The 15,697-nt window shown below is 38.5% G+C and overlaps 1 protein-coding gene and 1 non-coding gene across 22 annotated transcripts in view, besides 1 other annotated feature; both read left to right on the forward strand.

Moving 5' to 3' along the window:
* Window positions 1–15,697, forward strand: part of MYLIP (myosin regulatory light chain interacting protein) — a 34,802-nt gene that overhangs the window by 1,014 nt on the left and 18,091 nt on the right. For 16 of the 21 annotated variants that reach the window (XR_007059254.1, XR_007059255.1, XR_007059253.1 and 13 more), the window contains exons 2-6: window positions 458–648; window positions 11,526–11,711; window positions 12,921–13,118; window positions 13,600–13,764; window positions 14,798–15,218. Coding sequence is in view for 5 of the 21 variants with exons in the window: in XM_017010789.2 (XP_016866278.1) it covers window positions 458–648; window positions 11,526–11,711; window positions 12,921–13,118; window positions 13,600–13,764; window positions 14,798–15,218 (1,161 nt within the window). In the remaining 16 variants the exon portion in view is untranslated. The remainder of the gene's footprint in view (window positions 1–457; window positions 649–11,525; window positions 11,712–12,920; window positions 13,119–13,599; window positions 13,765–14,797; window positions 15,219–15,697) is intronic. The other 5 variants (XR_007059257.1, XR_007059256.1, XM_047418683.1 and 2 more) reach the window with 2 other exon arrangements.
* Window positions 2,944–3,103: an enhancer, noted in NCBI's record as "active region_24096". NCBI's record gives its function as "activates an Ori minimal core promoter by ATAC-STARR-seq in GM12878 lymphoblastoid cells {active_cell/tissue: GM12878}" and the evidence as "EXISTENCE:reporter gene assay evidence [ECO:0000049][PMID:35858748]".
* Window positions 11,457–11,525, forward strand: MIR4639 (microRNA 4639). Its single transcript, NR_039782.2, has one exon. It is a non-coding gene; the product is annotated as a microRNA 4639 (primary transcript).

Raw genomic sequence — 15,697 nt, forward strand, 5'->3', positions numbered from 1 at the left:
GGAAAACCGCTTGTGAAGCTTAGCTGACACTTGTGGCGTGTTCCCTCAATGTGTTTGATTTTTGGAGTCCAAATGGTTAAAATTGCCCAGATAATAAGTCGCCAAAAATCAGCTGTGCAGAGTATGCTGGTGGAGGGAATTCCGGTGATTGGAATACGAAGGAAAATACCCTGTAGTTTCCCCTCCTCATCTTTTGGAAGGCTACTTTTGAGGACTCCTTTTTTCTCTATTGCAATTGGTCATGCCCTAGACGTTAAAAGGAATTATGAGCCTCCATACTAGAGCTCGTGGTTTGGTATCATTGGAGCCGTGGAACTTTGTTTTTCCAGTTTAGATCAGGAATTGTAACACCATTGAACTTTGTAAAAAGCACCAGCAATCTTAGCCTCAGGGAGCCGTTGGGTTTGCTTTGATACGTACCATTTGCTCATCCAGGCTGCATTCCTTTTTGTTTTAGGTGTGCAGGCGACTGGGAATCATAGAAGTTGACTATTTTGGACTGCAGTTTACGGGTAGCAAAGGTGAAAGTTTATGGCTAAACCTGAGAAACCGGATCTCCCAGCAGATGGATGGGCTAGCCCCTTACAGGCTTAAACTTAGAGTCAAGTTCTTCGTGGAGCCTCATCTCATCTTACAGGAGCAGACTAGGTAAAGTGAGCTAAAATAAACCAATGTCAAATTGACCTTTGGTTCCCTTTAGAAGGGCCGCTGCACCTTCCCAGAGATACTCACAGGCAAGTTTGTTTTGATGCGGAGTTCCATCTTAACTTAGGTTTTCCATGCAGGTCCTTTTGTTGAGGTGGAGGGGGAGCTACCTACTTGGTCTGAGTGCATTTTCCAATCCTTCTTTTAGTTTTTCTTGTCTTTATAAACTTGATGGGTGAGCAGGGTTGAATTCTTACAAACACTTGAGATAAGTGCTACCCCAGGAAAAAAAAAAAAAAAAAAAGAAACCACCCTACCCGAGTGACTGACTTCCTGATAGCAGCATCTAATGCCCGATAGTAACCTCTGCCTCAGCAGTGTTACTATAGGTCATTGCAGACTGTTCTAACAGAAAGCAGGAAACAGTTCCTCTTGGGTTACTTAAACTTGGTCAGTTTCTTCAGCCTAGTGTCAGATTACAGTGTGCAGCCAAGAGCTCTGTTTGACTTCATGCAGAATTTTTAAAGTTTTTAAGTTTCTTGAAAATGTAATTTCATGAACTCTTCTAAGGCTACTGTAACTGAATTCCAACCCACAGATATGTTACACACGATTGGTGAGTATAGATTGAATTTATCTCTCTACGTTGTAAAACACCACCAACAGTGGTAGACAACTGAAGCATGTGGTCTCATTTTTCAAACAAAATATGTTCTCCCCTGGACTGACTCTAATACTTGATTCTCAAGAATGAGCCAAACTAGGAAATTGATATTTAATATTTATTGAAAGGCAGGAGACTTCAATCTTACAGTGGCATATCAAAAAATTAAAAAGGAAAACAGCTACTTTGAAGACATAGCAAGCTTTGGATCTAAGTTCTAATGTTTTTCATAATTCTTTGGCTGAGAAATTTGCCATGCATATGAAAAATGTGATTCTAAAAATTTTAAGTAATGATGAATGAGCATTATCCTTTAAGAGTTTTTTACATGACATTTGCTTGTTTGTTTTACCAAAGGACTGATAAAGACTCATTTTGAAATACTTATCATTTGAATTTGAAATTTCCACTTTGCCTTGTAATCGAGCTTTAAAGGTTGAGGCAGACGTTTAATTTTGTTTCTGAATGAAGATGGTATATTGAGTTCTTGGTACTCCTGAAAATATCTTGCAAAATATTCAAGTGATTGCATGCTTAAGGATGTTTTAGCTGTCTGTATTAATCAGAATAGACTTTTTAAAATTATTATTTAAAGCCGATTTGTGAAAGCTTTGCGCTTCACTGTCATAACTTGCAGTCGAATACAAGATATAACACAACATATTGGAATTTTCATTGTGTAGTCCTATTATGATTTTGTAATTATTTCAAGATCTCTAGATGCAACCCAGTTTTGATGGCACAAAATTATTTTTTAAATCTTCAGAAGCTTGGAGTACCAAATAACTGCATTTAAACAATGGCTGCAGTGATAATAGCATAATACATTTGTTTTATGAATGTATTCAGACTTTATAATTGACTAGTAGATGGTCTCTACCTGTGCTTTCCTGTAATTGGGTTAGTAACTATTATCAAATCAATTTTATTCATGTAAGAAATAGAGACATTTTATGAATTAGAACTTGAATCAAATTTCCTGTCTTGGTCTCTCCTTTATTGATTCAATTGACTTGGACTCTTGAGATTCATAATAGTACTCAAAGAATGTACATACCTAGTTCAACTAGGTAATTTTAATTGATTTTAATTCTTTTTGAAATTGTATGGAAAAGTTAAGTGTGACCTTAACTTTTAACTTGCTTTTAATATGTTGGTGAATTTTACTTGGTTTCATGGGGTTGGCTGAAATACATAACTGACACTTAAGTTTTAATAACTAGATAAAGTGATTTGTAATTAGCATTTGTACCTCTTAATTAGGACATCAGAAGCTGTACTGGGTCCAGTTTACAATTAGCATTGTTTTTACATGCATGAAACTATAGAACAAAAATATGTATGTTTACAAATGCTAGCAAATGAAGCTGGTTCGTAAACTTCTTTGATGTTTAATTATTTGTTGTAAAATACTTATATAAAATGCCATGAATATAAAATAGGTCTGTTTATGTAGTGAGTAAATTTAGCTTTGACAATCCAGTTATGAAAGGTGATTTTTTTATTCTTTTCTAAATCATGAGGGTGCATGTAGTGTAGTATACTGAAAGTATCTAGACAGTTTATTAAATGATGCTGAAATATCCTGGCAGAGTTGTCCTCTGGGGACAATTAAGGTAGCCAAGTTGGGAAGGGCAGTTAACTTATTAGTTCATATCAGATTAGGGAGGCCCTTGTGAGAATGATGGGCAGGAAGGCCTGTTTGTCATAGGACAGCACCAGGGAACCAGGCAGAAGCCCTGTATTGTAGTTTCAGCTCTGCCACCAACTACCAGCCATCCAGACTGCTATGGGCCCAGCTCTACATCCTACTTGAAGGCCTCTGAAGAGATGGTTTCTAAATTTCTCTTAGCAATAACTTTTTTCATTGCTTTTGTGTCCTCTTTATATTATTTTCCTTAATGTTTTCCTAAATATGTGTCTCTGAAAACAGAAAAAGCACATCAAGTGTTTGCTTAGATTGGTAGGTAGAGTTCTGATTTGGCCTAATTTTAGATTTGATTCTTCTATCTAGATTATGCTTTGCTCTTGAATATGAGCCTCAAATGTAAAAGGAGAGTCTTTTACTTTTCAGCTGGCATATTTCAGAGATGGAGACAGCAGGTTATTTTCAGCAGATGTTTGTGATGCCATGGAATAAAATGAATAGTGAAACAAATTAATGTATTCTGGAAGTAGATCTGAAATAATAATCATCTTGGAAATTCTTGCCTTTCAAAGGCTTTGAGTTTACTGCAATTCTGACTGGATTTTGTCAACATTTCCAAAACCAGAGATTAGAGAAGTATATGCTTCATCTTCACAATGGTAATTATACCATCCACTGCCAATAAAATCTATATTTTGCTCCCGACTTAGCCACGTTTTAGCAGAGCTCTGAAGTCTTTGCTAGGAGACGTTTTGCTTAGGTAAGGCTCACCAACACATGGATTCTCTTTTCCAGAAAACAACCCCATTCCAAGAGCTCCGTGAGTCCCAGACTAAATGTTCACAGAAATGCTCTAATCCTGGATGTTAAATTTCATCCAGATTTCAGTGATGCTGGCAGTGATGAGTTTGACTCTGACTCGTCCCTTGTTAAATCTGTCCTACCTTTCTGACCTCAGCCCCATCCTCAGCCCTCAGAAAAGTTTCCCTAGCCTTGCTTGGGAGACTAAACTCCCCCAAGACATCATGTATCTTTCCTTTATAGCATTTAATGAGCTTATAATACTACATATACTTACGTGGTAATTTGTTTATTATCAGTCACTCTAATAACCTAAACTCCATTAAACAGGGAGCTTATCAACATTGTATCCCCAGAGTCTAATAAGTGTCTGTTGCATATTTGTTGAATCATAGAATTAAGAACTTGGAAGTAAACAAAAATGGGGTTAACTGATAACTACTAATATAAGCTTTCCTAATAGATTTTGAGATGTTTTTCACTTTGCTTTTATAAACTGAAAAGTTGAGAGTATCTAAAAGAAATCTCACCATTTCAAAAATGTTTTGTAGTGATTATTTTCTGTTTGAACTTAACTTAGAGCTTCCTCACATTCTTTTGCTTCCTTTCTTTCACCCCCTCTACACCATCCTAGACCATGTGTTTATTGTGGCTATTAGTTCTTTCCTAAAAGAAACTACCACTTATCTGGGCCGTCTATGAAAGTCAGATAGTTTTCAAGTTATAGCATCACTTTAACTGCAACCCATTTATAGTCCTAAGTACATATTAACTAAGTATTTCCCTGTCTTCCAACAAAAATCACTTTTAGACATGTGGAAATCTGGGAAAGATTGCATGCCCAAACACAAAATAGGCCCTGGAAAGTAAAAACAGTAAAAGCAGGCATGTGGTTATTTCCAAAGAAAGTATTTAATCAAATTTTAAATTTCTGATATAATTTTTTCTTTTGTTAAGGCTATAGGATGTTTGTGTTATTATATGTGTTTATTTCAGCCAAGGAACGCCTGTCTGGGTATCTTTAGGCCCTTTTTGAATTTCTGGTACTTATATATTTGTATGAAATATTCAAGGAAGGTTTTTAAAACGACATGTAAAATTAAATCTGAGCATTTAGAAGGCACCTAGGGTCAGACTCAAGGTGACCAGTGTTGAGCAGCTGTAGGGACACTAGGTGTGTTTCCTCTGAATGGTGTCCCACTGTGGCCTGTTCCCAGCCCTCTTCTGTACCAGCAGCAGGACCTAGCAAGTAACTCAGAATGTGAAGGCAGTTAAAAAGATGATGAGGTCTGAAAATTCCTGAACCTTCCTGGCCTCATGGAATGAATGTACCAAAAAGCACTCCTTGGCTGATCTATATTGTTGGGAAAGAGATTGTAGTTAACATTTTCAGATTTCAGGGCTGCCTAGATTGGTGTTTGCCTAGGATGGGGATCTACTGTGAGTGAATAAGCACATTTTTTTAGAAGTGCAGATTTTCTGCTTTCAATTAGAAGTGTTCTTCTGGTGTGGGTTGTGATCACTTTTGAAGTTGGAAATTTTCCCAGCTGCTGCCCTCCACATCTTTTAACTGCTTTAGAGCAGGAACACTTTCATCAGTGATTCTCATTTTGTACTTTGGGCTTTGAAAAGGATCTCCTTAAGCCTACATAGAGACCTAACTTGGTAATTATTTGGCTGTGACAAGTTTCTCAGTGGCAAGCCCTCCATGAAGTAGATAGATGTGGTGGTTCACGTTAGATATGGCTAGTTACTTGAATCCTTGACCCTAAGGGATTTTTACTAGTATTACTTCCTTAACTTATGAAAATTTTCAAACAGACAGGAAAATTGGAGATTTTTTACAGGGAACACCTATGTATATATACACACATTATATGTGTGTGTATACATATATCTATATATATATATATATATATATGTATGCTATATATTCTATATAGTGTATATATACAGTATATATTCTATATAGTGTACATGTACACTATATATTCTACTCTATAGTATGTATACTAAGTATATACTATATATACTAAATTCTAATATTAATAGTTTACTCTACATGCTTTATTACATATTCATCCATTTATCAGTCCTCTATCCACCCATCAATCTGTCTTATTTTTAGATGCATTTCAAAATAAGTTGTATATAAGTATGTTTCCCCGTAAATACTTCAGCATGCATAACATTAACTAGAACTCAATGTTTGCAGTTTTTTCTTTTGATGTAAAATTTACATAAATCCTAATTATACCATTTAATGATTTTTGACAAACAGCTGTGCTTGTTTAAATAAAACTGCTATCAAAATTTAGAACATTATCATCACTCCAGAAAGTTCCCTGAAGCCCTTCTGCAGTCAACCCCTCCCCTTCTTTCCCACCCCCACCCACCGCACACCACACCTCTGTCATGTGTTCTTCTACCAGAGATGAGCTATGCCTGTGCGGCCTTATCTATATGGAATCTTGTGGTATGCACTCTTTGATATCTGGCTTCTTTTGTTCATCACAGATTTTTTGAGATCCATCCATATTGTCCTATATATCAGTGGTTGGTTCTTTTATATTGCTGGATAGTATTCCATTGAATGAATCTAGTGTTTGTTTATCCGTACTCCTAATAATGAACACCTGTTTTCCAGCTATTATGAATAAAGCTGCCATAAACATTCTAGTATGTACCTTTTTTTTGTAGACACATATTTTCATTTCTCTTGAATAAATAAATACCTAAGAGTGGAATAGCTGGGTCATGGAGTAAGTAATCATTTCATTTTATAACTAACTGCCGGACCTTTTCCCAAAGCTATTTGGCAACTGTGCTATTCTGTACTCCCAGCAAGAATGTAAGAGTCTAGTTCCTCCACATCCCTGCCAGCTTTCTGGTGGGTGTGTAGTGGTAGAGTGTTGTGGTTTTAATTTGCATTTCTCTGACAATTCATATTAAACACTTGTTCATGTGTTTATTGGCCTTTCATGTATCTTTTTCAAAGTGTCCAAGTCATTTACTCATTTTTGTTGTTTGCTTTTATTTTTGAGTTGTACAAATTCTTCATGTACCCTAGATACCAGTCCTTTGTCAGATACATGTTTTGTAAATGTATTTCCTCCTGTGGCTTACCTGTTTTTCTGATGCCTTTTATGAGTAGAAGTTTTTAATTTTGGTGAAGCCTAATTTATCCACTTTCTTCTTTTGTGGTTTTTGCTATGTCCTGAGAAACCTTTGCTACCTGGAAGTCATGAAGATACTCTTAAGTTTTGTTTCTAAAGCGTTACGGTTTTAGCTTTTACATTTAGACCCGTGATCCATCTTGAACTGATTTGTGTTTTACTGAAATTAAAGATACAAAACAGAAAACTCTCATAGCAATTCTGTTGTGATTTGATAGCTTTTAAATATAACTTGGCAGTCAAAGTTTGTTTTAAAATAAACTGTGGTTAAGTGACTCATTGGACTGAGGCAGGCTGGCTGATGATCACCGTGGGTTCTGACAAGGTGAGAGCAGAACCAGCCATTACTCACTATGGCTAGAGTCAGTCATGGCTCTCCAGGAGAAATACAATTCAATTATTGGTAATTGAGAATTTGAAAAAAATAGCTGCTTAGCTGTTTTAAAGATGTAGGTTAGTTCTTAAATTTTGAGTTCAATAATGAATCTGGATATAGTTATTTTACATTTGTCATTAAAAGCTCTTAAAAATGGTGTAACTGGTGAGGTAACTGGAGGGCAGTAACTGAGAGGAACCCTCTATGATGAGCAGATGAACAACTTCCAATTGGTTTGCAGGAAGTTCTGCTTTGATTCCTAGATAATTGCTTTATGAGACAAGCCTGTGTTTAGAGGAAAGTTCTCTGATTACAACTCTTAAAAGATAAATGATCTAACTTCATTCCTTAACATTGTAAGAAGGAATTAATTTTTAAAAGAGAGAAAATTTGAAGTACTTTGAAAGAAAAATATAGTAAGAATATGTGATTCATTTTTAAAATTAAAATTTGGCATATCCTTATATTCACTCCATTAAAAAAAAAATCTATAATGCTCAGTAAATGTTAATTCATCTGTGCCCACGATGCCAGGACATGAGTTTAGCCAGAATGTTACGCCTTGGGCCCCAAAATGTGATCCATATATTGAAAATATCAGTTTTCTTAGTAACTGGGTAAAACTTAAAGAAGAGTCATGAATTAGAAGGTATAACCCGAAGAATGTTTAAAAGGTGCAGTTTGAGCTTATTTATGCTCATAGGATGTATTCATGGACATTTCCTTAAGACAGAGAAAACAGTTTTTTTCCAAAGGCTTTCTTTCTGTTTGTGATTCTAGGATGTAGCCTCTATTGAATTGAATATGTCATCTACTTTTGATCTTTAGTGCAAAAGCATTCACTGCAGGCATAACTTATTTGACCACATCTGCTTGTTTTGATATTATTGGTAACATTTTGCCTACTTTACAAAAAAAAAAAGGAGGGGGCAAAACCCAGGAGCCAGATAGTTACAATCCAGATGGTTTGAGGGGAAAATACTAAGAGAAAATACTTGATTCAAAACCACCCATAAATATTGAGCCATCACTGAAGTTCTTGTTGGAAACATGTCTCTGAGCTCTGCTATCCTCTGTCTTGGAAAGAGCCTATTAGAGTGCTGATCTTTGCTACTAGTACTCTGTTGTACTGTTCTCCTGGAGAGCATAAACTTGTCACCCAAAAGCTAGATTGTGGCTGGAGTTATTTTGATGGGATATGTCCCTTTATTGTAAAAGGCTGTAAGTCCATCTAAAAAGGAACTCTCAGACATGTTTACCCTAAAACCCCAGCTTAGGGCTGGGCACAGAGGCGGTGCAAGACAAATATTTATTGGCTTGAAATGAAAAGGTTGCTTTATAGCCATGAAACTGCAAAATGCAGGAAGGGACTATCAGAAAGCTGATGTTGACAGTAAGGAGAAGGATTTTTCATGCTTACCAGGCATCCTCTGCACTCCAGGCTAGAATGTGGAGTATGTCGAAAAGGTCAATCATCGCCCTTGCTAGATCTTTTCTTAAATTCTGGCCCATATGCTGAGAAGGATCAGTGGTGCTCTCAGGCTGCCTGCCACCTGTTTACATTCTGTTACTGCTTCTTTGCCTTTGATTTTGGCCACTGTCTCTCCGGAAGTGTAGGCATGGATAGGTTGCAAAAAGACACGGAATTGATTCAAAACTCTTCTTACTATCTAATAAAGCAGGAACTAGTCTCTAACTTTACACCTGAAAAATAAGTTAAAAGCCACTTTTGCCTGTAATCCCAGCACTTTGGGAGGCCGAGGCAGGCAGATCATGAGGTCAGGAGATTGAGACCATCCTGGCTAACACGGTGAAACCCCGTCTCTAATAAAAATACAAAAATTAGACAGGCATGGTCTAATGTAGCTATCGGGAGGCCGAGGCAGGAGAATCGCTTGAACCCAGGAGGCGGAGCTTGCAGTGAGCCCAGATCGTGCCATAGCACTCCAGCCTGGGCGACAGAGCAAGACTCCATCTCAAAAAAAAAAAAAAAGGCCACTTTTACATAAGCAGTAATTAAACTAAGAAGACTTCGTTTGTGGCAATATTCTTCAAGTCTTTCAGAGCGTAATTTCTTCTTTAACGAAAGCATAGATGCAGATTTTAGTTTCCTAACAGCACACCTCCACCCCAGTCGAATACAGAGATGGGTACATTCACCAAGATGAAGTTTATCAAATGGTCATCTAAGAAGCCTTTTGAGGCCTGCAACAGTGTAGTAAACCACGGCTTGCTGAGAATGCTGGATCTCAGTCCTCAGATAGCTATTTTACAGCAAATTATTTTCATGGTGATTCCTTTGCCCCAGTGGGGGCTCCTTTCTCAGTTTAGCAGTATGTCAGAAATACTTTAAAGATTAGCAGATGTTTGGGTTAATAAAAACCATCTTTATCTTCTTTGAGGCTATTACACATTCTTACTATGATTTCTTTACACGGGCTTTGAAAAAAAGAAAAAACTGCAGTATTTGGCAGAGTTTCATCATTTTAAATATTTCTTTATCATTATAGAATGCACAAAACATTGAATTTAAATACTTCTTAGTGAAAATAAGATTAATGGCTCTTGTCAGCCAGACATTGTAGACTCTCAGTATAGCACCTCCTTAGATTTGTAGCCTCACTGCCTCCTCCTTAGTCGATTCTTACCTTGCTCATGTTCCTCTACCTGGAATGTCAGACACAGATATATTATTAAACAGAAACAGTGCTGAGGACATCGCACCTGGCCAAAGTTACAATTCATTTGTTAATGGGACGAATAATGTGGCAATTAGCCTTGTTTGAGAGGTTATGACAAGTCATCGAAGGAAGGTTAAAACTTCACATTTGCCAGGGACACTTGTTATAACTGAGGCCAATCTGTCTACAGCAGTTTAGGTGCTCTTCAGAGTTTTGGGCAGTGTGACCAGTATCTGAATTTTACAGGAGTTTTTAAGTGTGACATAACCTTTTAGTAAATGTAGAATATAGTATTGTATACAACTAGGATGGGCTTAAACAGGATGAAACTAAGGTTGGAAGGTAAACTAATCACACATAATATGCAGTTTTATGTACATTTTTGGAGCTCTCTGATGTTCGAGGCACTTAAGAAGTCATACATAATATACATGTTATGTCAAATACTGTACCAGAGGAATAGAGGATTTGCATGTGATACAGACCAAAGGGTATCCAAGCAAGGCGACAGAAAGAATGGCCCTCAGGACAGAGGGAGCAGCAAGACCAGAGACACCAGAGCATGAACATGCTTCCTAGATTTCCCAGGGAGAGGAATCGTTCCCTATCCTGGGGCATAGCAGCTGCAGGGAATGACAGGAGACGTGGCTGGAAAGCTGGGGCCAGATGGCGGAGACTCCTCAGCTCCACGTTAACAACGTGCTCCCTTGGCAAGCCGTACAGATCCTTTGAAGGATTTTGAGCAGAGAAATGACAAGTTTATACTAGAAACAAGCAGCATGGAAGGTAGGCTGCCTGCATGGAGTCTGGAGGAGGAGAGCAGCGCAGAGAATAGTGTAAATTCTTCCTGCAAGTAGTATTGAGGAGGTACAAATGGGAGGATAGAACTGGATTTAAATAGTTTTCAGAGAGAAGAAAGTCAAGTGAAATAGGACAAAGAGTCCAAAGTCAGTCCGTGGTCTCCATTCGGAGAAAAAGGGCTTGGGAAAGAATATATGGAGTTTGGTTTTGAATGAGCCAAAATTGAGGTACCGAAGAACATCCAGGTGGTGAAGCCTATAGGAGATTGGACATTTTTCATGTGATTCTTAGGACAGAAGCTGGCACTGAGACTAGAGATTGGGGTATCATTTGAATAAAGGTGAGAATTTTGTCTTTATGTATAGAGTTCCTTAAGATTCTATCAGAATCCATGTCAAGATACAATTTTTCTGATTAAAATAATTTCTTTTAAAACACTATAATGCAGAAACTTATGTGTAATTATTTTATGTTTTGTAACCTTAATGTTACCGAACTTGTGTTAAATAAGTTTATCTTGTTTGGGTCACAACTTTTATTCCAGAGAAACGCAGTTCTTATTTTGATTTTGCCTTAATACTGATGATTTTTTTTTGAAGTTCTTTAATGTTAAGCATTTTCAGTGTGACTTTTAAAATTGCTTTCCTTAAAAGTGACTGTGAAATTGCTAAGTAGGCTGAGATTGATGTCAGGTTATCCCCAAGCATAACCTCACTCTCACCTTGCTTTGCAGGCATATCTTTTTCTTGCACATCAAGGAGGCCCTCTTGGCAGGCCACCTCTTGTGTTCCCCAGAGCAGGCAGTGGAACTCAGTGCCCTCCTGGCCCAGACCAAGTTTGGAGACTACAACCAGAACACTGCCAAGTATAACTATGAGGAGCTCTGTGCCAAGGAGCTCTCCTCTGCCACCTTGAACAGGTGAGGCTGTTGAATATAGTATTGTTTACAACTAGAATAGGCTTAAACAGGATGAAACTAAGGTTGGAAGGTAAACTAATCACACATAATATGCAGTTTTATGTACATTTTTGAGCTCTCTGATGTTCGAGGCACTTAAGAAGTCATACATAATATACATGTTATGTCAAATACTGTACCAGAGGAATAGAGGATTTGCATGTGATACAGACCAAAGGGTATCCAAGCAAGGGGACAGAAAGAATGGCCATCAGGACAGAGGGAGCAGCAAGACCAGAGACACCAGAGCATGAACATGGCAGCATCAGGGCTACTGCATATATTCATAGAGCTATCAAATGTATAAGCATTTCCAAAAGAAGATGAATCTGTGGTACATACACATAATTTGTGAAGTTAAGACTGGGCCATTGCCCAATTTAACCAAATATTTTCAAAAAATTTGTTAGCCTTTTATTTGAAAAATATGTAAACACAATATGAAATGCTATATAAAATGGGAATTTTTTAAATCTGTGCCTTTAAGTACAAATCTCCTAAAATAAAAAATCTATTATGTATATTGGTGTTTTCTTCATCCCAGCAAGAATTAAACCAGGAGATCTAACATAGGCATTTTAGTTATCTATTCCTGCATAACAAGTTACCCCAAAACTTAGTGACATAAAACAACAAAAATTGTCTCACAGTTCTGTAGGTCAGGAATCTGGCCATGTCTTGGCTGGGTCCTCTGGCTCATGAGACTGTAGTCAAGCTGCAGGTAGAACTCTGTCTCATCTGAAGGCTCGACTGAGGGTGGCCTCCATGCCAGGTTGACTCCTGTGGTTTGTTGGCCTACCTCCTTCCCTGGCCACAGGGGCCTCAGGGGTCAACTTTATACTTATAAACTATATGTGGACAAATGCATGAGACTTTCCAATATGTAAATTTGACTTATGTATATTTTTAGAGACTTTCCATAATTCTTCCAATTCATCACCCATCCAGCATCCCCAAAGTGTTTTTACCAAGTATTTAATAGTTGAGATCCCAGTGTCTTAGACGTTTTTTATAGTAAGTTCGCTAAATACATGAAACATCAGTAATACATAAGTTTTAAGTTGTTGTGATTCATCAGTGTTAGTATATTTCACTCGTGAAGACTACATAGGTTTATCTCTAAAGCTAATATCTGTATACTTAATTCTCTGTCCTCTTGGTGTCCTCCAGCATTGTTGCAAAACATAAGGAGTTGGAGGGGACCAGCCAGGCTTCAGCTGAATACCAAGTTTTGCAGATTGTGTCGGCAATGGAAAACTATGGCATAGAATGGCATTCTGTGCGGGATAGCGAAGGGCAGAAACTGCTCATTGGGGTTGGACCTGAAGGAATCTCAATTTGTAAAGATGACTTTAGCCCAATTAATAGGTAAGCCAAGACTTAACTTTTTTTGACCTAAGCATGTGTATACATCTGTAGCTGTCAATGTAATAGAAAATAGGAAGGGATTTACTCGACAGTCAGCTCTTAGGAATGAAAGATTTCATTTTGGTATGTACATTAATTTTATTCAGGCCTAAATAACCATTTTAAATGTTATTCAAGGTATACAATGTGGCAGAGTTAACGTTTTCCAAATAACCCATTCACTGCCATAAAAAACTTGTTTTCAGCTCTAGACATGCATGTGCGCACACCCAGCACTTGCTCCCATACTTCCCTCCACATATGCCCAACTGCTTTTCACTGTATCTTTACAATAAGGCAGCATTATGGTGATGTGATAACCCCAGAGGAAGCGTCTGATTTTTCTGCTAGGTCATGAGCAAATGGGGATCCCACAAAGGCACACACATGGTGAAGAATCACTCCTTCTAGATCTGCTTTCTTTTCTCTTCCTGTCTCTTAGGATAGCTTATCCTGTGGTGCAGATGGCCACCCAGTCAGGAAAGAATGTATATTTGACGGTCACCAAGGAATCTGGGAACAGCATCGTGCTCTTGTTTAAAATGATCAGCACCAGGGCGGCCAGCGGGCTCTACCGAGCGATAACAGAGACGCACGCATTCTACAGGCACGTATCTCGTGTGCTTGGTCACCTCAGCACCACAGCTCTCAGGTTTTTAGGTGACAACCAGGTTTCTACGGTTCCTTGGATTGTTGTGTCAATGAGTCTAGTACAGAATTTAAGAAATTCTGAACATTTTGTTTCCGTAGTAGCAGTGGAGTCCTTATTAATGTAGTCTTGTTTTACCCACAGAAGGTGCATGTGTGTGAGCTGCACAAACACATTCTCTGCTTACCTCCTACCGTATTCTCTTATGCCATTAATCTAGACACAAAGTGTGTTAGGAGATTTCTATGCCTATTTAATCAATACAACAACCCTAAGGGGTTATTATTACCCTAATGTTAAAGATGAGGGAACTGGGAGGATAATTATTTACTTAGTCTAGGACTCAGCTTCAAAGCCAAGTTTGATTACCCTAAAGGTAACCCTGAGGGACTGGGCCTGCTCCACTGCTCAGGAGAAGGATAGCACAGATCATCTTTTCTTTCTGGCAGAGCTGCTATCCTGAGTCGTCACTGTGTATGGAAGGATTTTTTAATAGCAATATTGATTCCCTCATTTCAGAGGGTACTTTAAAGCCAAGTTGTGATTGGACTCACGTATTTGGACAATTAAAGCTAAGAAATTTAAGTCGTAGACAACTTTAAACTTTTTTATTTTAAAATAGATACACAAATTGTGAAACAGGATGGGAAATTTTTAGACATTTCTAACCTAAAAGCCAAGACTTCAGGCAGATGCCCTTTTTCTTCCATAAGCAACTTCACTCAGTAGCGTCTGTCCTGGGGAGGAGGTACGTGCTCACTGCCCTCTGTATTTACTGCTTTACGGAAGCCATAATGTCAGGAGATGTTAGAGAAACAGAGGTGTAATCACTGAGAATATTTACCAGACGTAAAACTGGAAGGACTTACTTTCATACATGCAGACGAGACTATGAAACATCTGCTGACATTTCTGTTCTTATTGACAACAGCGAATAAGGGTGCTGCCAGGCTCTTTGGTGTTAAAGTAGATGTTCAATCTTGCCTTGCAGGTGTGACACAGTGACCAGCGCCGTGATGATGCAGTATAGCCGTGACTTGAAGGGCCACTTGGCATCTCTGTTTCTGAATGAAAACATTAACCTTGGCAAGAAATATGTCTTTGATATTAAAAGAACATCAAAGGAGGTGTATGACCATGCCAGGAGGGCTCTGTACAATGCTGGCGTTGTGGACCTCGTTTCAAGAAACAACCAGAGCCCTTCACACTCGCCTCTGAAGTCCTCAGAAAGCAGCATGAACTGCAGCAGCTGCGAGGGCCTCAGCTGCCAGCAGACCCGGGTGCTGCAGGAGAAGCTACGCAAGCTGAAGGAAGCCATGCTGTGCATGGTGTGCTGCGAGGAGGAGATCAACTCCACCTTCTGTCCCTGTGGCCACACTGTGTGCTGTGAGAGCTGCGCCGCCCAGCTACAGGTAGGGGAGTCAGCTGCCCACTTTTGCCTGCAGCCTCACCTATCCCTCCTCTTAACGGGGAGTAGGAGCCAGGTACTGGCTCGCTAATGCACAGACGGGGAATGCCCATCTTCACCCGGAAAGGGTCTTTGTATTTGGTGACCTAAAAGGCATTGCCCTTTAGAAACATTTTAGATTAGCATACTATTTTCAACAACATAATTACTCCAAATTATGCAGTGTTTTCAAGTTCTGAAAATGAGGCTGAGATTCCTGGGTAACATATCTAGTTAGCGGCTTACCTGAGGACAAGAATCCAGGCCTCCTGAGGCCTGGCCCAGGGCTGCTTCCTCTATTTCAAGTTGCCTCCCTTTTTCTGACACTTAGGAGGATGGTCTTTATTACTTAAGATATTTGGGAAAGAATACTTCTCAATTATCCATGGATGGGTTGTTGACTCTGTGATATTGGTGATTAATTTCCTTTTATGATTGCAAATG

The sequence above is a fragment of the Homo sapiens genome, chromosome 6, assembly GCF_000001405.40.
Source record: "Homo sapiens chromosome 6, GRCh38.p14 Primary Assembly".
Classification (NCBI taxonomy): domain Eukaryota; kingdom Metazoa; phylum Chordata; class Mammalia; order Primates; family Hominidae; genus Homo; species Homo sapiens.